This window comes from Homo sapiens, chromosome 15, assembly GCF_000001405.40.
Source record: "Homo sapiens chromosome 15, GRCh38.p14 Primary Assembly".
In the NCBI taxonomy this organism is placed as follows: domain Eukaryota; kingdom Metazoa; phylum Chordata; class Mammalia; order Primates; family Hominidae; genus Homo; species Homo sapiens.
In genome coordinates this window covers 99,038,522-99,065,047 of record NC_000015.10, presented here as the reverse complement: position 1 = coordinate 99,065,047, position 26,526 = coordinate 99,038,522, and the positions used below count along the sequence as shown (strand labels likewise).

Genomic DNA, 26,526 nt, shown 5'->3' with positions numbered 1-26,526 from the left:
CCTCCTGCCTCAGCCTCCCAAAATGCTGGGATTACAGGCATGAGCCACCACGTCTGGCCTCGGTCAGTGTATACCTTTTTAAGAATTTTTGTCTGTTCTTTCATTCACAGAGAATGAAATGCCTAAATCCTAAGTGTAGGATGTATCAAAATATCATCAGGCCAAGACCCCTGTAATCATCACTCAGTTGGTAAATTCTTGCAGGATGCCAAATTGGAACTTTAGGTGCTGGAGTGGTGAGCATTCCAAAGCGGTGGGCATGAAGCCAGTCCTATGACTCTCCAAGCCTAGACCCCTTGAGGGACTGGGTCATTAGGTGTTAGAGAAGATTTATAAAGGGTACGGCTCTGCAGATGCCTGAGCTGAGAGAACCAATCCAGGAAGGGTGGAGTGAAGCTGCCTACGTCCTTCCCTCAATCAGGAGAATGGGGTTTTAAGGGACCACATGGAGAGCTTGACATGTGTCCCTTGTCATCAAGGGGGACCCAGTGAACTGGTATCTGATGACTGATCAGGAAACCTTGAGGACAAGGGAGAAGCTGACTTGTTGAGGGGCTACTGCACGGAATGGGTCTCTACTCCCACAATTTGATGGAACAGAAAATGTGTGACCTTTCTCCGTGGAGCAGGTGTGACCCTGTTGGGCAATAGAATCCCAACAGAAAGAACTCGTGTGGCGTAGACTACCAGGGGTGTGAGCCTGCCTGGGGGAAATGCACCGCCTTTGTCATAACATATGCAGTCAAATATTTCCACTGGGGCCGGCCAAAGAACCCATGGAAGCCCCTTGCCAGGCCCCACAAGCAGGAAACCTCTTATGACACGGCTGAGCGAGGAATGATGTGCTTTGTTGCCCCCTTTCCTGCTCCCCTCTTCCCCACCCCATTTCCCGCTGCAGCAGCAGAGGCAGGGCCAAGGCCAGGTGTCCCTTCAGATGGGTCATTGCTTAAGTGGTTCTTAAATGATGTAACTTTCAGCCGGGCGCAGTGGCTCATGCCTATAATCTCAGTACTTTGGGAGGCTGAGGCGGGTGGATCACTTGAGGTCAGGAGTTTGAGACAGCCTGAACAACATGGTGAAACCCCGTCTCTACTAAAAATACAAGATTAGCCAGGTGTGATGGTGCACGCTTGTAATCCCAGCTACTTGGGAGGCTGAGGCAGGAGAATTGCTTGAACCCGGGAGGCAGAGGTTACAGTGAGCCGAGATTGCGCCATTGCACTCCAGCCAAGAGCTAAAGTCCGTCTCAAAAAAAAAAAAAAAAAGATGTGACTTTCACTCAGCCAGAAGAGTCTGAATTTGTCTGTCGTCTTCAAGCTGTGGAAGAGGACTGGAAAGGGAGACAATGACCATTTCTCTTCCCCCATTCCTGTGCAGCAGGCTCTTGCCTGCAGTAGGTCCTACAGTGGAGGGGCAGCAGCTGTCACTGTGAAGGAAGGCAGAGACTCTGGTTATCAGCCGGCACTGCATGTAACCAGTCTCTGGAGAGGAGGCTGTCTCTGTTGTCACCTCCAACATCCTATGCCCCTAAGAGTGACCAGGAAAGACATGGAACTGACCTGAGACTTCATCCAGAACCAGAAAAGGCAATTCTGAGGGACATTTCAAGGGAAAACGTGAGACAAAAATCAGTTACTTTCATGATGACATCCCAGGAGTACTGCCTGCTCAATAAGCCAGTCTCCCACATTTTGACGTCTTTACTCTAAAATCGATGTGTGAATATCTCTAAGCGATGTCTGAGAGACGATTTTAAAAACAAAAATAGTAAATGTCCGTAGTAATTTCGACTTAAGTAAACAATCTTCTAAAAATGCATAATGACACTCACAGCCTATGATGTGTCGGATGTCCTGTGCTCCAACATGGCTCCACCATAGCCCTGGCATTGGGCATCCCTGGATCCATTTTTACATAGAAGGAAGCTGCCAAGGGGCAGACCTCAGATGGCAGTGTGGATCAGTTTGACCACATTGTCTCTGCAGTCTCTTTAATCTAATGTGTGTCTGGGAGCTCCAGGGTTTTGAATGGGTTTCCATTTTCCAAAATGTGGGCATGCCTTGTGGTTCATTCAGAGACAACCAACAGATGGGCCAAGTCAGGATGGCTTTGTGATCAGGAACATGGCTTGGCCATTAGACAGCCTGGGCTCAAATCCCAGGGGGATTATCCATGAGTGACCTATCCTTAGAAAAGCTACCTAGGTGAAGGACTGTGCTTCACACATGCCTGGCACATGCAGGAAGCTCTTTATACACAATAGTAGCCACTGTTGTAATTATTCTTGTCCTTGGACTTGAAACCTGGGAAACGAGGTAAATCCCTCCTAGAGAAGGCTTCTCTGTTTCCCGACAACTTATTGGATAATTCAGGGCTGGGTCCTTGTTCTTGGAGAGCTACAAGTATAGGAGGGACACTGACTGAGATCTGAAGGGTACAGATCTAAACATCTTTCCCTCATCCCCCTCTGCCTTCAAACATCTGCCCCACTGGCCTGCCCCACAATCGTAAATTTCATCGTTCACCTTCCTTTGGGTATTATCTCTGAAAGCTCCTGTTAACAAGTAGAAGGGCTAGCACACTTTGGGTTATAGCGCCCCTGCCACAATACCCTGGATTGCTTTGAGATATGGACATGTACTGGTGTTGCGGGGCTACCTGGCAACCTTCCCACTTCCTTTCCAGGGGATTTTCCCTACTGTGGGAATCTCAGACAATGGGGCACACACAGGAGTATGCTGGAGCACAGCTCACCAGCCCACCAGCACCAACTTTTACATTCTCAGGAATCCTTCGAGCTGGTTGTTAAATGGTTGGCAAATAAAAATCAGTCATGGTGGGAATGTCTCCATGGAAGTCAGCAAATGCTGCAAATCCGGGCTTTTCCCACTGGTGAGCAAGCTGCTAAACGTTTCCCAGCCCAACACCCAGCACAGCACTTGGGTTTAGCCACCTGATCCTCCCTCTGAGGCCTTGACTCTCAATCAAGTGATCCAAGACACAGGAACAAGACAGAATCCATGTACTGCAGGGGCAGCTGGCCATGGCAGGGCAGGGGGGAATCTAGTGCGGGTGGTGGCAGTGCCCAAGGGTGCCAGCGTCAGCTGCCTCTCCCTGGCATGACTTTGGCCAAGTCTTCCTCTTGCCTTCCTTCCTTCATTTCCTGCCCAATTTCTAAGCCTTCTTCTCCTGCCTTCCCATCCATTCCAAGAGCTTCCCTTTTCTGCTATGTTAATCAGAGCTAATTCCTGCTGAGGGGTCTGGTCCATATAGGTGACTAATCATTTGACAGACAGAGGTCCCTGAGAAAAGCAAATAAGCTCTCATTTTGATTCCTCAAGAAGGAAGGCTGCTTGGGGCAGAGCAGCCTGGACTTAGTCACTTAGCGAACATTTATGGAGCACCTACTGTGTGCAGGCACTGCCCTAGTGCCAGGACAGGAAAGGAACAGGTACATCTCTGTCCCCAAGGAACTTACCACCTAGCTAATGGAAGCAGCTCTCAAACAACTAATTATGCAATTAATTTTTCTGTGGATTGCTCCATCATCATTGGGTTATACCAAATTACTGATAAATATTTGAATCCTGCAGTGGGTAAAGTACCATGCAATGTACAATGGGCATACCGAAAAAGATGAAACAGTCTGTGCCTCCCTTCCGAGTTCACAGTTTAGCTGACAACACAGGTACACACTCATGCCACTGAATAACCTTCCAATACAAGTTCCCACTTGTCAGAATCATGGGGAGCTGCAGCTTCCAACTTTGGGGATCAGGAAAGGCTTACGTGAAGAAAGTGGGATTTGAGCACAGCCTGGACTGTGATTAACAATAAGAAAAAAAAAGAGTTCAACAACAAAGACGACATACTTGTAAAATTAGCCACCTGAAATTCTACTGCCCAAAGGTGACCATGGTTAGCATAGCCATGAGCGCCCTTCTGCACAACCGCGGGATCCCGTTAGGCACACTCTTGTATAACCAGCTGTTTTCACTCAACAATATGTCATGGACATTTTTCCATGCCAATTATTCCCAATCTACATCACCATTTAAGCGGCCGGCAAATACTCCATTATACGGATGTATTCTAAATTAATCAAATCCCCATTGATAAACATTTAGTGTTGCGGTCAAGGGCACAGACTCTGGAGCCTCAGAGCGTGGCATCATTCCTGGCTGTGCAACTCCCCAGCTGGGTGATGGTCAGCAGAAACCTAGCATCTCTGAGAAGTTTCCTCATGTATTAAATGGAGGTGCGGTTGTCCCTCGGTATGCGTGGGGAATTGGTTCCAGGAGCCCCATACCAAAATCCACAGATGCTCAAGTTCCTTATATAAAATGGTGTGATATTTGTATATAACCTGCACACATCCTCCTGTACACTTTAAATCTCTCTGGATTACTTATAATACCCCATACAATGCCAACACTTCATTTCATTCTTGTGGATTCAATGTAGTAGTAATTGGCGCATGGCAAATTCGGGTTTTGCTTTTTGGAACTTGGCGGAATTTTTTTTTCTGGAATATTTTCCATGCATGGTTGGTTGAATCCACAGATATGGAGGGTTGGCTGTATTAATAATACAGTCCCTGGCCAGGCACGGTGGCTCACGCCTGGAATCCCAGCCCTTTGGGAGACCGCGGCGGGTGGATCATGAGGTCAGGAGTTCGAGACCAGCCTGGCCAATATGGCGAAACCCTGTCTCTACTAATAATACAAAAAATTAACCGGGCGTGGTGGCGCACATCTGTAGTCCCAGCTACTCGGGAGGCTGAATCAGGAGAATCGCTTGAACTCGGGAGGCAGAGGTTGCAGTGAGCTGAGATGGCGCCACTGCACTCCAGCCTGGGCGACAGAAAATAAAAATAAAAAATAATACAGTTCCCGCAGCATAGGGATGTTGTGAGTAGCTATTTGTAAAATGTTTAGAACAGTTTCTAGCACTTAGTAAATGCTCAGTTAAGGCCAACTACTGTTACTGTTAAGCAGGACTGTGGCCATCCTCTGTGCTTAGAAGGTCTGTCTTTGTGCACCCTTCCCAGCACCTACTTAGGATAAACACCGAGAAGTGGAATGAAATCGTCAAACAATGCACTTATTTTAAATCCTGATCAATATCATCCAATTGCCCTCCAGAAATGCACCAGCCGCTGGTGGGCAGGAGGACGCTGTGGCCGGCAGGAGGCTGCAGAGGGGACAGCCCCTGCCTCCTAACTGGAGCACCGGGGACCCTCACCAGCCATCCACACCGCCAGCGAGGTTTCCTGACTTGCCTAGCCTTCCGGGTGGCATTTTGGAATATAAAGCAGGAGGAAAATTAGCAGCAAGTCAGATTCTCTCACTTTGATTTCTAGAAGGAAAGCTAGAGTTGAGGCCGTGTTCGAAAATATAGGTCAGATCTCGGTTTCTGTGGTTACCAAACACTGTCAGCCACCAGTGACTCCCTCCCTCGGGGGCGATGCCAGGGTTCCGAGGCTGGGCAGTCGGGCCTGGCCCCCGCCGGGGTCCCCGGTCGGCTGCCCCGCGAGCCTGGAGGGTCTGCACCGGGGCGAGGGCCCGCGGGCACCCCGCCCTTCACTTCTTCTCGGGGGAGGGGCCGGAGGGCTTGGCGGAGCTGCCGACGGGGTCCGGGGTCGCGCCGATCCCGCCTGGCTCCCCGCGCCTGGGGCTGCAGGGTGGGCACGGGCCGGGCCCGCGGGAGGAGGGGGAGGCCGGGCGCCGCGGGAACAATGTGCTCGGTTGTTGCCGACTGTCAGCCTCGTTCCCGGATCCTCCTTTCCACGCCCCTTGGCCTAACTGCCGCGGGCCTGGCGCGCAGAGGGAAGAGCCCCCTTATTTGGTCTTGGAAAGAAAAGGGAAAGGTTATCCTCGGATGCCTGCGGCGTTGGGTCATCAGCCCGCCGCGGCCGGCGCGCACGCGGGAGCAGCTCCGACTCCCGCCGGCAGGGGGCGGCGCCGGGCAGCGCCGGGGAGCGGCCGCTGGAAAACAGGCGCGTAGGTTCCGCCGCGGCCGGCGCGGATCCGCTCTTGAGCGTGGGGAGGGGGTGGGGGTGGGGGTGGGGGCGGAGGGAGGGCGGGGGAGGGGGCGGCGTCACGGGCAGGGAAGAAGAGAGAAAAGAAAAAAACAAAACCTTTTTATGGCCAGTCAAGCTTCCAAAATTGGAAAACCGTTTCAGTTCGAGGCTGTGACTTTGCCATGTCGATTTCATGTGAAGCATCTGGGAGTGCGCGGAGTGGGGGAGAATAGCGGGGGGTGCGGGGTGCGGTAATCAGTGTTAAGATAAGCCGTGCCATTGGGGTGAAAGTTACTAAGATAATTGAAAAGGTACAGTTTGGGGATCGGTGTCGGCTCGGGTACTTTGCTCCCCACCCCCTTCCCTCTCTTCCCCACTCCTCCCTCCGCCCCTGCTTTTCCAGCCTCTCAGGTGAGCCTGGTGATGTGTAGCGGAGTCTCGCTCTGACCCCCAGGCTGGAGTGCGGTGGTGCGATCTCGGCTCACTGCAACCTCCGCCTCCCGGGTTCAACCGATTAGCCTCCCGAGTGGCCGGGACTACAGGCACGCGCCACCACGCCCAGCTCATTTTTGTATTTTTCGTAGAGACGGGGTTTCCCATGTTGGCTAGGATGGTCTCCATCTCTTGACCTCGTGATCCTCCCGCCTAGGCCTCCCAAAGTGCTGGGATTATGTTTCTAGCCACGTGCAGGCTGAGCCTTGCCCAACCTTCTTATTATCCTGGGCAGCTCAAAAAGGCGAAGGTGACCAAGCTGGGATTCGAACCGCGTCCTTCACGCTTCAGCGCCAAGGCTTGTTCCACGGTTAAGAGCACATTACCTCGCCAATGACTCCTCCAAATAAAGCTTGTGTAATATGTGTCATTCTTCTAAAACCTTTAAAAAAGAATCAAAACAGTAACTGGTTTGACTTTTTCAGCAGAAGGAAGCAAAAGGGCGTCAGCACCTGGAGGTGACTCTAGTGGGGAACCTGCGCCCCAGAGGTGGGAAGGAAGCCAGGGGGCATTCGTTTCGCCTCAACTGCCCCAGGGGTTCTTGTCCATCTCCAGAGAGGCTCTTGGGTAGCATCCTGCCATGGTACTTGTTACCGCACAGAGCCTTCCAAAGAGGGGCCTGGCAGGCGGGGAAGCTGTTGCTAACTTCTATTTTCTATTTTAGGCAAGTTGCAAGCAGCCCTTGTGTTTGCCTGCAGGTCTCACACGGTCCTCCGCCCCTTCTCATTGTTCCAGCTGCTTCCTGAGGTGGTTACTAATAATTGTCACTCATAAGACCTGCCTCGGGTTTCTTCATCTGGAAGGAAATTAATTTTCCAAGTCACACAATTACAGACAACTTTTAAAAGAGTCACTGAGACAGTTTCATGCTTACCTTAGATTAGATGGTTCCAGTTTATTCTTTTTTAAAAAAGAAAATTTGTGTGAACAAAATTAAATCCAAGAAACATGGTTTTTCTCTAGCTCTTTTTTTTTTGTGTGCGTGTGAAATAGTTAAAAAAAAAAAAAAAGAAAAAGAATAAAGAAAAGAAACTGCTTCTACCAGTTTTGGGGGGTTTCCAGGTTTCCAGACATTTACTTAGCTTGATACATAGTATATTTCTGTGGGAAAAGGACAGCGAGAATATCTTGTAGCTTTTACTTTCCAGCATTGTTGTACTGGTTACAGTCAACTCCACAGTATGAACCAGTTGATCAGCTCCAGTAAGGCCTCCTATCCCCTAGTGGAAAAACCCAGGCCTTTCCCACCGCTCTCGTGTCTTGCTCAGGACTGCACCTTTTGTTGCTGGTCCCTTGCTTGGCACTTCCTAGCTGACAGGCCAGGAGGTAGGCTCACTCTCCTTGGTGCTGATCCCAGGCACCAGCTTCCATGAGAACCAGCAGTCACTTCCAGTTGGGGGCAACCCCATCCGGGTTTGCCCTGACATCCCAGAGCCCAGGTCCCCATCCCAGGAGCCAGTAAGAGTCCTTAGCAGGATCAGGAATGTAGCAGCATGGCTGCTGCCTTTTCCCTTCCAGATGCTCTGGCAGGCTGGAGCCCGGGGGTCCCTAACGCCTGCCTTGGCTCTTCACTTCTTCCTGAGGTTCTCCTCACCATGAAACTACTCCCAAATGGAGATATGGTTCCATTCCATTGCCTGGATTCTGCTCTCCATTTATGCCTTGAGGCAGATGGAGCCAAAGGAATGTCACACTGTCCCACCATCATCTCAGGGACTGCCCTGTTTGGAGGGGCAGTGGTGCCCAGCAATGGAGCAAAGTCATAGGGAACAGAGCTGCACAGCCTTGGTCACACTCCTTAAAATCTTTGTGCTCCCACTGTTGTGAGAATTTAATGATATCTTCATATGCGAAGGACTTAACACAGTACCTGCCCCCTGAGGAGCACAGGAGGGCATACCTCCCAGGGCAGTTCAGAGGGTTACATGAAATAATGCCTGTAAAGCCCTTAGCACAGGGCCTAGCACTTAAGAGAGGGCTCAGTCATGTGGCCAGTAGTATAATCAGCCACTTCTTTTGATGGGTCAGCTATATGCTACAAACTAAGGCTCTTTACATATACATTTGAATCTTTATGGAAACCTAGAATGTAGACAAAATTATTGCATATACAAGGAACTCAGAATCAGGCTAAGTAAATTATCCAATGTCACACCGTTAGTATACAGCAGGGCCAGGATCCATCTGGCTCCGAAGTGTGTGGCTTTGCAGTTACGGGCAACCTAGGAAGAAAGAATAAATACACAGTCCTGTAAAGTGAGCTGCAGGGTCTTCATGGAGAGGAATTAAAACTGACTCCTCAGTGTGAATAACTGGCAGTTAGCCATGTGTCTTTGAACCAGATGTAGAAGCCAGTGACAGAAGGCTAATTACACATGTGGATATAATGTCAGTGGACGGCAGCTACCTTTGGGTCGCCTAACTATTGTCTTCTTAAATCCACGGCAGCCCTTTTAAGCCCAGGCTTGTCAGGACTCTTTCTGTTTTCTGGAAAAGACAGACATCCAACCCAGATTGATTTAAGCAAAAAAGAAGTTTAATTGGCTCATGAAACTGATAATGGAAAGGTCCAGCTTCAGGCATAGCTTGATCCAGGAGATTAACAACATTATATGGACTGGCCCTCTCCATATCTCAGCCCTGTTTTCCTCCCTGTTGGCTTTATTCTCAGGTTGGCTCTTTCAGTGACCCTTTTTTTGTCCCTTGTTGGCCAGGCCTAAGAAAACTTAGAGACTTGGGTCTCTAAAAGAAATCATGGTTCCTTTTATTAAAAGAGGTCAGGGATGCTGAGCAGGCAAATATGACAGATGTCCACTACACCCTACCAAGTACACCATGGATCAGAAAGATAGTAGAGAAAACGCCAGGCACAGGTGGCTCACGCCTGTAATCCCAGCACTTTGTGAGGCTTAGGTGGGTGGGTCACTTAAGGTCAGGAGTTCGAGACCAGCCTGGCCTACGTGGTGAAACCCCATCTCTACTAAAATACAAATATTAGCAGGGCATAGTGGTGCATGGCTGTAATCCCAGCTACTTGGGAGGCTGAGATGAGAGAATTGCTTGAACCCAGGAGGCGGAAGTTGCAGATTGCACCACTGCACTCCAACCTGGGTGACAGAGACTTGCCTCAGGAAAAAAAAAAAAAAAAAAAAAAAGATAATAGAGAAAAAACTTTAATGGTGAATTTATTAGTCCATTCTCTCATTGCTATAAAGAAATACCTGAGACTGGGTGATTTATAAAGAAAAGGGGTTTAATTGGCTCACAGTTCTGCAGGCTATACAGGAAGCATGGCATCAGATTCTGGGGAGGCCTCAGGGAACCTACAATCATGGTGGAAGGCAAAGGCGGAGCCAACATCTCACATGGCCAGATCATGAGGAAGAGAGGAGCAGGGGAGGCGCCACACGCTTTTCAACAACCAGATCTCACAAGAACTCACTATCTCCATGACAGTACCAACAGGGAAATCCGCCCCCATGATGCAATCACCTCCCACCAGACTCCCACCTCCAACATTGGGGATTACAATTCGACATGAGATTTGGCTGGGGACACAAAGCCAGACTATATCAGTGATCAATTCCGCTGCTAACGGCACTCACAAACCAAGCAGGCAGGGGAGGGGTAACTAGAAGCGTTTTGGGTTATACAGGAGACCCATACTCCTCCCATTTTGGGTCAGGCTAGCCCATTTTAAATAGTAGAGAAGGGCCAGGTGTGGTGCCTCACGCCTGTAATCCCAGTACTTTGGGAGGCCGAGGTGGGCCGATCACTTGAAGTCAGGAGGTCGAGACCAGCCTGGCCAACATGTTGAAACCCCATCTCTACTAAAAATACAAAAATTAGACAGGCGTGGTGGCGGGCATCTGTAATCCCAGCTACTCAGGAGGCTGAGGCAGGAGAATTGCTCGAACCTGGGAGGTGGAGGTTGCAGTGAGCCGAGATGGAGCCACTGTACTCCAGTCTGGGTGACAGAGGGAGACTCTGTCTCAAAAATAAATAAATAACAGAGAAAAACCTTGAAATCCGTAAAGACTGGGTGTGAAGGACTTTAGAAATCTTCAATGTCCTAGTGTAGCAGAATGCTTTAACAATATGATTCATAATAATATAAACAGAATACATAACAAAGTGCATTAACAATGTAAATATTACAAATAAGTATAAATGTACATGTTTGTACATATGTGATATTTTATATAATGATAATAAATAAATGTAAAAATGCAGTAAAGTCTGACTGAACCTACTGAACTAAAGATCCCGGTAGACCCTTAATGAGAGTCAGGGCACACAACTATAAATAAAACATTACGAATCCACACTGAGGGTGGATGCCGGGCTGTTGACTAGGTTTGGTCACAAGCTGCGTGATGACCTGTTCCTCACAGCAATCTGATGCAATTTAAACCAGTGCCTGAGCAAATTGGCAAATTATTAGATGTCACGGACCTTTGGTCACTTCTCTAATAGTTAAGCTTGAGAACAGTCACTGGACAAACACTAAGGTGCTGCTTTCCTGCCATTAAACGTGCCCTGAGCTGAGGGAGAGGCTACTGAGGCACACTCCACATTGCAAGGCTGAGGGTGTTGGAAAGTGGGCAAGCCTCCCACCTTGTGCCTGGGGAGTCTCCCAACACTTGGGTCTCCCCTCTGAGCCTTTTACATGCCACGCCCCATCCTGCACTATCCCAGTCTCCGGGATGGAGACTCTGCATCCCCATTCAGAGAGCAGTCACGGTGCAGTTGCCCTTGATGTCAATGCCGGCTGTCCATTTGTCCAGGAACACTTCAATGTCACGTCCCACACATGAACAGAGGGCAGGTAAAAACTGACCCTACACAGATGTCTGCATCTCCGGAATGTGTCAACCTCCTCCCACTTGTCTCCTGATTCTCTGCCTCCAGGCATTATCCGTGTGCTCCTCGGGTGCCCTGCTGTGCAGGTCTATTTTGGACCTGAGGATGGTAACGACAGTTACCAGCTACAGTCATGCATTGCTTAACAACAGGGATACGCTCTGAGAAATTTGTCATAAGGTGATTTCATTGTCGTATGAAGATTATAAAGTCTACTTACACAAACCTACATAGCCTAGTACACCCCTAGGCTGTATGATATAGCCCATTGCTCTGAAGCTACAAACCCGTACAGCATGTTACTGTCCCGAATGCTGTAGGTAATTGTAATACAGTGGTAAGTGTTTGTATATCTAAACAAACATAGAAAAGGCGGAGTAAAAATACAGCATTATAATCTTTCTAAAAACAATTAATAAGCTTTATTATAGTACGGTTTTAGATTTACAGAATAATTGAGCAAAAAGACATAGAATTCCATACACCCATCCACTGCTCTCTCACCCGCCCCACCGTGGTTTATCCTATGAAATTCTTACATGTGGTACATTTCTTACAATCAGTGAGCCAACACTGATACATTGTTGTCAACTATAACCCAGAATTTACACTGAGGTTCACTCTTTGTGTCATATAGTTCCGTGGGTTTTGACAAGTGCATAATAACATGTATTATAATCTTTTTTGTTGTTGAGACCGAGTTTCACTCTTGTCACACAGGCTGCAGTGAAGTGCAATGGTGTGATCTTGGCTCATGCAACTTCACTCTTGTCACACAGGCTGAAGTGCAATGGTGTGATCTTGGCTCATGCAACCTCTGCTCCCAAGTTCAAGCGATTCTCCTACCTCAGCCTCCCGACTAGCTGGGATTACAGGCGCCAGCCACCATGCCCAGCTAAATTTTGTATTTTCAGTAGAGACAGGGTTTCACCATATTGTCCAGGCTGGTCTTGAACTCCTGACCTCAAGTGATCTGCCCTCCTGGGCCTCCCAAAGTGTTGGGATTACAGGCGTGAGCCGCCGCGCCTGGCCTGCATGTATTATAATCTTATGGGGTCACCGTCCTGTAGGCAGTCCATCCTTGACTAACAAGTTATGTAGCACGTGACTGTATTGAGCATTCACCATCTACTAAATTCTTTTGTATACGATTTCATTTAATCCTGTGTCAGCCCTGGGTGGTCAACATTATTTATTAGCTTCACTTTACACGGAAGGAATTGGTGCTTAAAGAAGTCATGTGATCACTCACCGCAAATCTCACAGAGAGGAAGTAGATAAAAGCAGCCTTAGTTCTCGGCTCAAGTCATTCAACTTTTCATGAATCAAGTAGTGACTGAGTGTTAGTAGGTGCCAGGCAGGGTGCTGGGGCCTATTAATTTAGCGAAGAGCAGAAGACTGGACTTTGTTCTCAGGGAGTTTAGAATCTACTGGAGAGACAGATATTTGAAAAGCAATTATAATGCTTATTATTACAAAGTATATTTAATGCTGTGAAGGAGAGGTGCTGGCCAGGTGCTGTGGCTGATGCCTGTAATCCCAACACTTTGGGAGGCTAAGGTGGGAGGATCACTTGAGGCCAGGAGTTCAAGACCAGCCTAGGCAACAGAGGAAGTCCCTGTCTCTACAAAAAATTAGCCAGGGCATGGTGGCACGTGCCTGTGGTCCCAGCTACTCAGGAGGCTGAGGTGGAAGGATCACTTGAGCCCAGGAGGTAAAGGCTAGAGTGAGAGGTGATCGTGCCACCACACTCCAGCCTGGGTGACAGAGCAAGACCCTGTCTCAAAAAAAAAAAAAAAAAAAAAAAAAAAAAAAAGCTTTTGCTGGAAAGCTTACCCTGAGACAGAGTTTGTGTGTGAGGAATTCATCTGGGAGGTAAACTCAGACAGGGGATGGGGAAGGGAGACAGGGAAGGGAGTCAGTGCAAGGAATATCAGTGGGAGGCTCTCTGCCATGGGCAATGGAAGCTCAGGCCTGCTGGAGATCTCCTGAGGGACCATGTGAAACGCATTAAGGACCGTCCCACCCACAAAGCGAGGAGCTAGGTGCTTATCTCCAAATTCCGATGCTCTTAGGAGAACACTGATCCCACAGCTCTTCCAACTTGCACCCTGAGCCAGCTGGCTGCCTGGCTGTAGCCACAGAGGACTCTCAGGCAGAGAGGCAGGTGTTGGAGGGACGGAGCTGTCAGCTGGGACCACGGAGCTGTCCACCAAGGTCCCAGGGCACTCACAGTGTCTGCCCCACTATCCCAGGGTGGGGCAAAGGTGCAGAAATTGGGCAGGGGTCTGAGAACCAGGAGGGATCAGAGGAGCTGACATGCTCCTCTGAGGTGTGTGTGCCGGGGGGAGGGGGAGCAGGGGGGCTGAGGGGGCCAGGCGGAACTTGAACCATGCCGAGAACCATGTGAACTGCTGTGACAGGGCTCACAGCTCACAGAGGGATAGAAGCACCCCTCTGGCTGCAGTGTGGACAGTGATCCAGAGAGGATCCGAATTATGAGAAGAGATTGATTGGGTAGGAGGTTCTTGCTGGGGTCCAGATGAGAGATGACGCTAGCTGGGCCAGAGGAGCTGGTGGTTGAGTTGTGGGGGGTAGGAGTTAAAGTCAGCGGGATTGCCACTCTTTGTCTGCCTTGCCTCATACCCTGCCACATCTTTGTCGAGGGTGTGGTGGCTCGTCGCTGGATCCACTCCTATGGATCCCTCATCTCAAGAGAGGATGAGATAATATAAGGAACACCTGAAAGAAAGGAGCGTGTGTGTTTGTAAGAGGTGCATCAATTTGAGCTCCTGGAAAGTAGTGTCAAAAATGGACTCAGGCAAGCTTACATAAGAAAGGCATTCATTGGGAGGCTAACAGAACTCACCAAACCTGATGGCTTAGGAAATGGACAGGAACCAAGATGGCTCCAGATGGTCAGGCAGCAGGAATCCCCTGTTCTTTCCTTCCCCAAACATTTACTGTGTGCCTACTAGGTGCCAAGCAACAGCCCATCCACAGGTAACAGAACAGCAGGCGGGATAAGAATGTATGAAGGTGAAAGAGGGCCCCAGAGCCACACAGGGCATGGGTGGGGGGGGGGGGTTCTGTTTCAGATGCAGGGGACAGGAAGTCCTTTCCAGTGATGCGATCAGAAAAGATACCTGAATGCAGAGAAGGTGCAGCCTTGCGAATCTCTGTGGGGCGAGCATCCCCAGCAAAAGAATGGGGGCTAGAACAAGCTCTGTCTGTCATGGGAACAGTTAGATCCATGTGGCTACTGCCGACTGAGCAGGCCACAGTGAGGGCTGTGGATTTTGAGTGAAATGGTGAGCCACTGGAAGGATTTGAACAGGGGAATAACCCTAACCCGATTTGATTTACAAGCTGAAAGAATCCTTCTTTTTTTTTTTTTCCAAACAGGGTCTGGCTCTGTTGCCCAGATTGGAGTGCAGTGGCTCAATCATGGCTCACTGCAATCTCTGTCTCCCTGGGCTCAAGCCATCCTCCAACCTCAGCCTCCTGAGTAACTGGAACTACAGGTGCACACCATCACGTCTGGCTAATTTTTGCATTTTTGTAGACATGGTGTTTCACCATATCGCCCAGGCTGGACTTGAATTCCTGGGCTCAAGCAATCTGCCCACCTCAGCCTCCCAAAGTGCTGGGACTACAGGCATGAGCCACTACACCCAGCCAACATGCTGGAAGAATCTCTCTGACGTCCACGTGTGGAACATGAAGTGGAGAAGCACCCAGGAGAGAGCCCAGGTAGGAGGCACCCAGGTGGGGGTCTCAGCAACAGGTGATAGGGGTTGAGGGAGCTGTTCCAGTAGGGAATAAGAAATAACTAGACCCTAGATATTCTTTGGAGGTGGAACTGACAGTACTAGTGGATTAGATAAAGTATGAAGGGAAAGAGAGAAATTTAAGAACTCCCAGGTTCTTGGCCCAATGAGATGCCAGTTACGGAGATGCGGGTGGCTAGGAAATCGGGAGATTTATTTGTGTTTGGGGGTCACACTAAGACACACAAGACCTTTAGAAGGATCCCTGAGGAAAATATAAGCTCCAACTATCCCACATCTTTGTGTCCCTTGCTTAAGATCCGAAGTCCTGGGACATTACATGCAAGTTTCCTAGGGGCGCTGAGGCTGGACAGAGACCAAGCCCCTGGGCACAGGCTGCCCCGTCTCAGGACAAGGCTTCTCAGGGAATGCCCCAGATGAAATTCAGTGTATTGTTAAAAATGAAGTGGGATGTTAGAGGACCAAAAAATGAGTGAGAGTAGAGGGTAAGTCTGAGACTTGGATGATCTGCAAATGTGTTGAAGAGCAGCTGGGTCAAGCAGGAACCAGTGTGGACCATGGGCTGTAAGGGCAGGGCTGGGGCTGGAGGCAATGAGCAGAACATCCAGGGAAGTGGGTTTTGATTTTGTACATGGCAGAAACTCCCAGCTCCTTCTAAGAGCCCTAGGCCACTGGGATGCAGCCATTCCTGGGTATAGGATACATTTGAGCATCAGCTGGTCAAGCACTTGGGATGTAGAAGAAGCAAGCTAAGCATGGTGGGCCGTTGAACCAGGTGATGGGCTCAAAGTGTTTGCACTGAGCACTCCCATCAGGAGAGTATTTTGAGGATGCAGCCTGTGTGTGTGTGTGTGTGTGTGTGTGTGTGTGTGTGTGTTTATGCAAATGTATATCACATTCTACCATAATAATAATACATATGCCTATAAAAGACCATCACAAAATAGACTTTTAAAAGAATGAGCAATAAATGAAATAAATCTATTTTGAGTTAATTTTTATTTTATTAATTAACACTAAAAATTCTCTCTTTTTTTTTTTGAGACGGAGTCTCGCTCTGTCACCTGGCTGGAGTGCAGTGGTGCAATCTCGGCCCACTGCAACCTCTGCCACCTGGGTTCAAGTGATTCTCCTGCCTCAGCTTCCCTAGTAGCTGGGACTACGGATGCCCACCACCCCCTACCCTGGCTAATATTTTTGTATTTTTAGTAGACACGGGGTTTCACCATATTGGCCAGGCTGGTCTCGAACTCCTGACCTTGTGATCCGCCCACCTTGGCCTCGCAAAGTGCTGGGATTACAGGCGTGAGCCACCTCGCCCAGCTAAAAATTCTTTATCACAAGTATTAGATTAATTATTGGTATTTTAGGGCCATATGATTGAAAATATTTTATTATTGTCTCATGGATTTGCCACTCTGTAATAGTGTAATGTGGAAGCCTGGTCTAAATTTAGTTTCCTTGAATACTTGGTTTTAATAACTGTTGAGCTGTATAATATAATTTTCAAAGATGCCTGATTCCAATTGGCAGACAGGCATCACTGGCCATAGTTAGTGAATCATGACTTTTTTTTGTTTTTTTGGTTCCAGCCATCAACTGATCAAAAAAAATTTTAAATGAGATTGGTTAGTGATTCTCCATTTCCTTTCATGTTAATCAGTTACTCTTGAAAACTAATTTGGAACATATTAGAGTTTTATATTGTTTTAGGTCTGGTAAAGTACACATAACATAAAATTTACCATCTTAACTTTTTTTTTCTTTTGAGACAGAGTCTCGCTTTGCCACCCAGGCTGGAGTGCAGTGGTGCGATCTCGGCTCACTGCAAGCTCCGCCTCCCGGGTTCATGCCCTTTTCCTGCCTCAGCCTCCCGAGTAGCTGGGACTACAGGCGCCCACGACCACGCCCGGCTAATTTTTTTGTATTTTCAGTAGAGACGGGGTTTCACCGTGTTAGCCAGGATGGTCTCGATCTCCTGACCTCGTGATCCGCCCGCCTCTGCCTCCCACAGTGCTGGGATGACAGGCGTGAGCCCCCGTGCCCGGCCCATCTTAACCATTTTTAAGTGCACACTTCAGTAGTGTTAAGTACATTCTCACTGCTGTGCAATCAGTCTTCAGAACTTGTTCATCTTTTGCAAAACTAAAACTCTCCCCATTCAACAACAATGCAGTTTTATACTTTTAATAATTGGGTTCACACCTCAACTACATATTTCCTTTTTCACTTGGAAAATAAAAAATTTGTTTCTAAATTTTAAAATAGGTACATAGAAGAGTTTATTGTGGCCCCACATTGTTTTTTGGTAAGAAAATAAAGAACAACATATTGGAAACATCTAAAAACATCTGTTTCACAATGATCTCTCTGTAGCATGTTTCTTTAAAAAGTAGTTCATTTCTAATTTATTATTCAAAGCAGCACTTTTACTTGAAGGTAGAGAGGAAACCCATTTCTTCCTTCTATTTTACCTGCTATATATGTGTATTATTGAAAGCCACTTGTCGGCCGGGTGCAGTGGCTCACGCCTGTAATCCCAGCACTTTGGAAGGCTGAGGCGAGCAGATCACCTGAGGTCAGGAGTTCGAGACCAGCCTGACCAACATGGAGAAACCCCATCTCTACTAAAAATACAAAATTAACCGGGCGTGGTGGCGCACGCCTATGATCCCAGCTACTCAGGAGACTGAGGCAGGAGAATCGCTTGAACCCGGGAGGTGGAAGTTGAGGTGAACCGAGATCCCGCCATTGCACTCCAGCCTGGGCAACAAGAGTAAAACTCCATCACACACACACCCACATAAACAAACAAAAGAAAAAAAAAACAAAACACTTGTCATCTCAGGAAAGGTCAGGAAATCGAGAGCAGTTGTTTTTGTTGTTGCTGCTGTTGTTTTTTTTTTTTTTTTTTTTTTTTGGTCAAAGAAGACATTAGTTTAAGCACCTGGCATTATGACAGTCTATATAGATTTAACTGTATTTTAAACACCTTGTTTTCATAAAATTAATCACATTGATGACTTCTTCCATCACTTTGTGTGCTTTTGGCTTCCAGTTCTCTTATGCAATACTTTGCGTCTGGATGATGTAGTGAATCGTCTTGATTGAAATCTGACCTCAGACCTCTTTTTTTTTTTGAGGTGGAGTCTCTCTCAGTTGCCCAGGCTGGAGTGCAGGGGCGCGATCTTGGCTCACTGCAAGCTCTGCCTCCCGGGTTCACGCCATTCTCCTGCCTCAGCCTCCCAAGTAGCTGGGACTACAGGCGCCCGCCAGCACGCCCGGCTAATCTTTTTGTATTTTTTAGTATAGATGGGATTTCACCGTGTTAGCCAGGATGGTCTTGATCTCCTGACCTTGTGATCCACCTGCCTCGGCCTCCCAAAGTGCTGGGATTACAGGCGTGAGCCACCGCGCCTGGCCTACCTCAGACCTTTTATAAAAAGAAAATTGCAATCAAAACAGTCATCTGGCTGGCCGTGGTGGCTCACACCTGTAGTCCCAGCACTTTGGGAGCCTGAGGCGGGTGGATCACTTGAGGTCAGTATGGCCACCATGTTTTGTGAAACCCAGTCTCTACTAAAAATACAAAAATTAGCCGGGCGTGGTGGTGGGCACCTGTAATCCCAGCTACTCTGGAGGCTGAGGCACAAGAATCGCTTGAACCTGGGAGGTGGAGGTTGTAGTGAGCCAAGATCATGCCATTGCACTCCAGCCTGGGGCGACAGAGTGAGACTCCATCTCAAAACAAAACAAAAAACCCCAGCCATCCGTGCTGTGGTTAGTTACATTTACACTGTTTTCCCACCAAACATTGTCTTTGATAAAGTATATACTATTGAGAATATATCTTCTCTGCTACATCTTTTCCTTAGTAGCTTCCAAACAATCAAATTATTTGTTTTTTATCAGTGAAACAAAATCAAGCAAATACCATAGACTAATATGTGTGAAAAGCTCACTGTACTTTTATACAACTACACCGTAAATGTCTCATTATTTTTCTAGTACTTTTATTTTCAAATCTTCAGCAGTATCTTCGGACAAATGAATGCATTTCACTTTCTCTTTAATTTTGTCTTTATTTTTCCATACATTATTTATACTATTTTTACATGAAAAAAAGATCAAATATCCACAAATGATATGTGAGTTTTGGTCTTTTGTGCCAAAAACCTTAGAAGAGGTTTCTAAATGTTTACCATTGCATTTAATGAAATGTTTTAAGGTATGGACTGAATATTTCATTACTTTCAAGATTGCTAGAAAAATTGGAGAGATTGGCCGGGCGCAGTGGCTCACGCCTGTAATCCCAACACTTTGGGAGGCCAAGGTGGGTGGATCACAAGGTCAGGAGATCGAGACCATCCTGGCTAACACGGTGAAACCCCATCTCTACTAAAAATACAAAAAATTAGCCAGGTGTGGTGGTGGGCACCTGTGGTCCCAGCTACTCGGGAGGCTGAGGTAGGAGAATGGCGTGAACCGGGGAGGTGGAGCTTGCAGTGAGCCGAGATGGCGCCACCGCACTCCAGCCTGGGCGACAGAGCGAGACTCCGTCTCAAAAAAAAAAAAAAAAATTACATGTAAGTTTGGTATCCATCTTGCATTATTTTTTTAGGTGGGGAACACAGTTCTCCCCAGTTCCCACAATGGGGATATCCAGTGGCTCCAGTGTCCCTTCCTGAAAAGTGAAGGTTAGCTTTCAAGTGTCAAAGCAATCCTGGTGACTGTATCTTACTATCAGCAAGTGTCTCTAGGTGCAGTGCACGCTTAGGGCAACATTCATCATTAAGGACAGTTCATATGAACCCTTATTTAAAAGACTATACTTGGCAATTATAACACTGTTTGGACTTCACTTCTAATCTGATTAGTTCATCATTGTTTTTATCTTTCAATGCAGCTAAGAGCTTATAGTAGGAGTAAGAGAAGGGCCAGTTCTACAGATTTGTTTGGTTTCCTTATGTTTGCATTATTATAGGATATAACATACATATTATATAGTGTAACCTTTTAGTATGTGATAATATTCCACATCTTTTTAAGCTACTCATTGATTTTGTTAAAAATCTCCACATTGATGAGGGTTTGTCTCTTTCTCTGTATAATTTTGTCTTTTATTTTTTTGAGACTGATTCTCGCTCTGTCGCCTAGGCTGGAGTGCAGTGGTGCAATCTCGTCTCACTGCAGCCTCTGCCTCCTGGGTTCAAGTGATTCTCCTGCCTCAGCCTCCCAAGCAGCTGGGATTTCAGGCATGCGCAATCATGCCAGGCTAATTTTTGCACTTTTAGTAGTGACAGGGTTTCACCATGTTGGCCAAGCTCGTCTCAAACTCCTTACCTCAGGTGATCCACCCACCTCGGCCTCCCAAAGTGCTGGGATTACAGCCGTGAGCCACCGCACCTGGCCTAATTTTGTCATTTTTTACTTGATGTATTTTGAGGAAATGATACTAGGTACATATACATTTTAAATTATTATATAGTCCTGTTGAATTCAATCTTTTATCATGAAGTGATTGTCTTATCTCTGCTAAAACTATTGTCCATAAAGCATATGTTGTTTGATACTAATGTGGCCACATCAGCTTCATTTTGTGATTTCTTCAATCTTTTAATTTTAATTTTTGTGGGCTTTTATTTTAGATGTTTTTCTTGAAAACAGCATATAGTTGAAATTTTGAAAAATCACCCTGTCATTGTCATTTAACTGGAACATTTAACCATTTACATTTTGTGATATATTTGGTTACATTTGTTTGTTTTGTTTTGTTTTGTTTTTGTTTTTGAGACAGGGCTCTGTCACCCAGCCTGAAGTGCAGTGGCACTATCTCAGCTCACTGAAACCTCTGCCTTCCTGGTTCAAGCAATTCTTCTGTCTCAGCCTCCTGAGTAGCTGGGACTACAGGCGTGCACCACCACGCCTGGCTAATTTTTATATTTTTAGTAGAGATGGGGTTTCACCATGTTGGCCAGGCTGGTCTCGAACTCCTGACCTCAATTAATCCACCCACCTCGGCCTCCCAAAGTGCAGGGATTACAGGCATGAGCCACCACCTGTATTTGGTTACATTTGGCACTTTATTTTGTGCTTTCCAATTGTTCTACCTTGTATTAGTTTCCCGGGTATGGCTGTATTAGCCTGGGGTCTCCAGAGAAACAGAACCAATAGGATACATATGCCAATAGGACAATTAGGTAAATGATTGATTGATAGATAGATGATGGATAGATAGATAATAGACAAAGATATTTGCTATAAGAAATTGGCTCATGTGATTATGAAGGCTGAGAAGTCCAAACTCCAGCAAACTGGAGACCCAGGAGAGCTGATGATGTCAGTTCCAGTCTGAAGGCAGGAGAAAACCAATGTCCCAGCTCATTCTTTCCTACTCATCTTTTCATTCCATTCAGGCCTTCAGTGGCTTGGATGAGGTTCACTCCTATGAGGAAGGCAATCTGCTTTACCCAGTCTACCAAATCAAATTTAATCTCTTCCAAAAATCCCTTCCCAGATACATTCAGAATAATGTTTCATCAAGTATCTAAGCATCCTGGGGCTCAGTCACATTGACACATAAGCTTACCCATCACATTGCCATAAGAAAGTGTTGCAGACGGGGTGGCTTAAAATGACAGAAGGTCATTATCCACATTTCTTGAGGCTACAGGTTTGAAATCAAGGTGTCAGCTGGGCCATGCTCCCTCTGTAACTCTGGATAGAATCCTTCCTTGCATCTTCCGAGCTTCTGCTGGTGGCCACCCATCCTTGGTGCACTTGGCAGGCAGTTGCATCACTTCCACTGGCCCTGTGGTCACATGGACTCCTTCCCTTTGTCTGTCTCTTCTCTTCTTATAAGGACACCAGCCATATTAGGTTAGGGCTCACCTTAATTCAGCATGACTTTATCTTTACATTGGCAAAGACCTTATTTCCAAATAAGGTAACTTTCACAGACACTGGGGCTTTGGATTTCAACATATCTTTTTGGTGAACTCAATTCAACCCGTAATATACCTGCTCCATGCCTCTTTTTCTCTCCTTTCTTGCCTAAAAATGTGGGATAAGTTTTATTATTTCATTTATTTTTTCTACTGCATTGAGAGTTATATATTCTATTTCTATTCTTTTAGTTGCTATTCTAGAAATTATATATATTTGCATGTATACAATATGCACATTACAATGAAGTATATTTAAAGGTAATCAGTACATTTGCCCTCTCCCAGGACAATAGAAAGGTTTTAGACCACTTTAATTCCACTTGCCCTTCTTCCAACCTTATGTAGCATTATTGCCATGTATTCAAATCTATGTTTTAAAATAATCTTCTTATTGTGAAGAAAGCCCAGAGACAGAAAGCCACATGAATCAAATGTGTGGCTTACTGAATGATTTTAAGATAAACATCATTCAAGTCAGAAATAAAATTTTGCCAGTCTTCCCAGAAGCACCTCTGTCTGCTTCTTCCCAATCACAAACCCTCTTTTATCTCTTAAGTAACCACTGTGCTGGTTTCTATACTTATTAGTTCCTTTAAAAATAATTTTATTTGGCCAGGTGTGGTGGCTCACACCTGTAATCCCAGCACTTTGGGAGGCTGAGGAGGGCAGATCACCTGAAGTCAGGAGTTTGAGACCAGCCTGGCCAACATGGTAAAACCCTGTCTCTACTAAAAATACAAAAATTAGCCAGGTGTGGTGGCATGCACCTGTAATCCCAGCTACTCGGGAGGCTGGGGCAGGAGAATCACTTGAACCCAGGAGGCGGAGGTTGCAGTGAGCTGAGATTGCACCACAGCACTCCAGCCTGGGCAACAGAGCAAGACTCCATCTCAAAATAATAATAATAATAATAATAATAATTTTATCAACCAAATGGTGTATCCATAAAACTACAGCATTGCTTTGCCGAGTTAAAGAATTTAAGACTTCAAGTCTCTTTTAATCTGTAAATTCCCTCTCATCCTTTTCTTTTCCGTAGAGATAATCTCTTGGGGAACCTGGGCTCTCCCTGAGTGGTTTAGCTTCCTTCAGCTTAGAGTTTGCTGCTCACATCCTCACAGTACACTGCATTTCTCTGCCTTCTGTATTTCCAGAAATTTGGGCAGCTGGATCCAGAAACTGTATCAGATTCAGATTTGATCCCTTGGTTTGGCAAGACAATAGGAGGCATATAAAGCCCTGTTGTCTCTTTTATTGATGTTAGCAGTTGTTGATGCTTAGTGCCTACATCTAATAATTCACTGGGGATGCAAAATGGTGACATTCTATCTTTTTTATTGTTTTGTTATTTAATGGTTGTAATACTGTTCTAAGGAGATCCTTCTCCAACTGCTATCTGGTTACCCAGCAGTACAGTTCATATAGAAACGGGGATAGATGCTAGATTCTTCCTTTATTCATCAGTTTCCAAGATAATGAATTGGTTTCCTGTCATCCTCTGAGGGTGACTAGTTCTTTTTTATTGTTTCAATATTATTATGTACTCACGAATTTAAACATTATCTTTACTGTAGCTTCAAATTATTCTGACTTTGGCTAGTGCGAACCTCTTTAGGTTAGTTCTTGAGTCCTTTGGACATGATGCTAGAAGTCTTTAACATTGCTGCTTTCTGATATGACAAGATGTTCCAGGACCAGACCTGCATTCAGTCATTTCTGCAAGAAGTCCTGGTCCTTTGTCGTGTGATGTGGAACTTGAATACATAATACCAGCACTAGGAAAGCTCATTTCTCTAGACAGGTCATTGTTTCTTTTCTGTGGCGCTAAATACTCTCTCTCTCTCACACACACACACACACACACACACTCACATACACACACACTTCTGAGTGTTTCTAATTCTGATGTATTAGAACACATATTCAAATATGTTGTACACATATGCACAATTTTTTTGAGACTGAGTCTTGCTCTGTCACCCAGGCTGGAGTGCAGTGGCATGATCTCTGCTTACTGCAACCTCCACCTCCTGGGTTCAGGGGAATCTCCTGCTTCAGCCTCCTAAGGAGCTGAGACTACAGACACGTGCCACAACGCCCAGCTAATTTTTTGTATTTTTAGTGAAGATGGGGTTTCACCATGTTGGTCAGGCTGGTCTTGAACTCTTGACATCAAGTGTTCTGTCCTCCTCAGCCTCCTAAAGTGCTGGGATTACAGGCATGAGCCATTTTGCCTGGCCAGAATTATATATTTAAAAACAAAATAGCTCATGAGTCAATACTGATACTTCTAATTCAAAACTACCCCAATTTTATTTAACTTCTTCTGTATTACACCTGTAACTCCTTTCTTCTCTATCACAAATCCTGGTTCTCAAGAATACAGGGAATTATATAATTAGAATTTCTCATAATTAATAATTTCCTGAATCCCATAGTACACACACAACAGACATGGAATAAAAATACTAAAATACTAATTTACTATCAATATGATTATTTAAAACATTAAAATAAATCTTTTTCATATGTTCTCCCATTCTCTCTCCATTTTTCTTTTTTTCTTTTTTTTTCTCTTTTTGAGACAGAGTCTCGCTCTGTTGCCAGGCTGGAATGCAGTGGCGTGATCTTGGCTCACCGCAGCCTACGACTCCCTGGTTCAAGCGATTCTCCTGCCTCAGCCTCCCAAATAGCTGGGATTACAGGCATGTGCCACCACACCCGGCTAATTTTTGTATTTTTAGTAGAGACGGGAGTTTCACCATGTTGGCCGGGATGGTCTCGATCTCCTGACCTTGTGATCTGCCCCCCCCTTGGCCTCTCAAAGTGCTGGGATTACAGGCGTGAGCCACCGCGCCAGCCCTCTCTCCATTTTTCAAAAGCTGTGCTATGTATTATCAGAATATATAGTCAGGACAGTCTATACACAATCCTTTTTAGCCACTATTCAGTCTTAATTCTACAAGTTAAATTTAATCCTTGCCATCTGCCTTCACATCGGTAAGGGTCATTTTGGTTGTCTGAAGTTTTGTTCTCTGCTAAACTTCTTAGACTCATGGAAACAATATTCCCTTAGATCTTTCTTGTTGATAATAGTTTGTTTTTAATATTTGAAATCCAATTTTTCTGCAATATAAAATCCTGGATGCACCTTTTCTTAAATATGTGACTATTTTTTTTTTCTGGCATAAAGTACTGCTTTCAAAAAGTCTAATGATGATCTATTATTCTTTTCTATTCAAGTTCCATTCTCTCTCTCTTTTTATGCCCAAATAACTTTTATTTTTATTATTTATTTATTTTAGAGATTGGGTCTTGCTATATTGCCCAGGCTGGTCTCGAACTCCTGGCTTCAAGTGATTCTCCTGCCTCAGCCTCCCAACCAAGTAACATCTCTAAAGTACAGTAGTTATACTAGAATATCTCCAGGTGTTAATAACTTTTTGTCAATATTCATAAGTACATAGTGTCCTCCTGAACATGTAATTTCAAATCCTTTAATTACAATTTTAGGCACGTTTTCTTGGGTTAATTATAGTATTAATATTTCTTTTGGTCCTTCTCTTGGTTTGCTTTCTCAGGTTTTCTTGAAGAAGGCATATAATCCTTGGCTATCATTTGCAACTGTTACTTTCTCCTAAATCCTCTTTATCCCTTTCTTCATTTCTTTTTTGTTTGAAAACTTTTTAAAAATCTTATATTCCTCTTAAGGCATTATTTGTTGTTTATTCTTTCCCATGTTCCATCTAGTTTAGTTTTCATTTCTGAAGTGAATTTGTCTTTTGCTTCTTAATTATTTCTCTCACTTCATTTCTAAGTGTTTATAACGCTGATGTATTTCCATGTCTTTTATAATTTTCTTAATGTTTTTAATTGTTTTGAAATAGTAAATTACATTTTTTGGTCTATTTTGTGGGCATGACTTTTGTGTGTTTTGTTATTTTTGATCCTTATTCTCTTTTTAAAAAATTCTAACTTTGTACAGAATTTGACCTTAGTTTTAGGTGAAATTCATATTCTTGACTTTAGAATGAAGTGGGGTTCAGGAAAATTTTCTAACATAAAGTGTCTTCTTCTGTTGTTTTTGTGCAATGTACATTAAAAATATAATGGCTTACTTTCTGAGATTTCCCGTCTCTGGTTCCTTCTCCTATTTTGAACTGGACCTTCTCTTTCCTTCATCTATATTGTCTTCATCCTGCTCAGTTTTAACTCTACTTCCAGCACTTTCTCCTCATTGGGACTGTGTCTCAGAAGGAAGCCCTAGACAGCTAGCTTTTAGGGTTCATGATCCATATATATCATTGCCCAGTATTTGCCCCTCCTAGATTCAACTGCTGTTCTCAATGTTTTCCAGCAAATTCCTACTGGGGTTCTGCTATTCTCAGGTATATCAAATGCCACTCTGTTG

The 26,526-nt window shown here is 45.6% G+C and overlaps 4 annotated features.

The window, feature by feature from the left end:
* Window positions 5,672-5,721: a silencer, noted in NCBI's record as "silent region_6863". NCBI's record gives its function as "represses an Ori minimal core promoter by ATAC-STARR-seq in GM12878 lymphoblastoid cells {active_cell/tissue: GM12878}" and the evidence as "EXISTENCE:reporter gene assay evidence [ECO:0000049][PMID:35858748]".
* Window positions 5,832-6,001: a silencer, noted in NCBI's record as "silent region_6862". NCBI's record gives its function as "represses an Ori minimal core promoter by ATAC-STARR-seq in GM12878 lymphoblastoid cells {active_cell/tissue: GM12878}" and the evidence as "EXISTENCE:reporter gene assay evidence [ECO:0000049][PMID:35858748]".
* Window positions 6,019-6,618: an enhancer, noted in NCBI's record as "H3K27ac-H3K4me1 hESC enhancer chr15:99601659-99602258 (GRCh37/hg19 assembly coordinates)". NCBI's record gives its function as "activates a minimal SCP1, AML or CMV promoter by ChIP-STARR-seq in primed H9 embryonic stem cells {active_cell/tissue: H9 hESC(primed)}" and the evidence as "EXISTENCE:reporter gene assay evidence [ECO:0000049][PMID:30033119]".
* Window positions 6,619-7,220: an enhancer, noted in NCBI's record as "H3K4me1 hESC enhancer chr15:99601057-99601658 (GRCh37/hg19 assembly coordinates)". NCBI's record gives its function as "activates a minimal SCP1, AML or CMV promoter by ChIP-STARR-seq in primed H9 embryonic stem cells {active_cell/tissue: H9 hESC(primed)}" and the evidence as "EXISTENCE:reporter gene assay evidence [ECO:0000049][PMID:30033119]".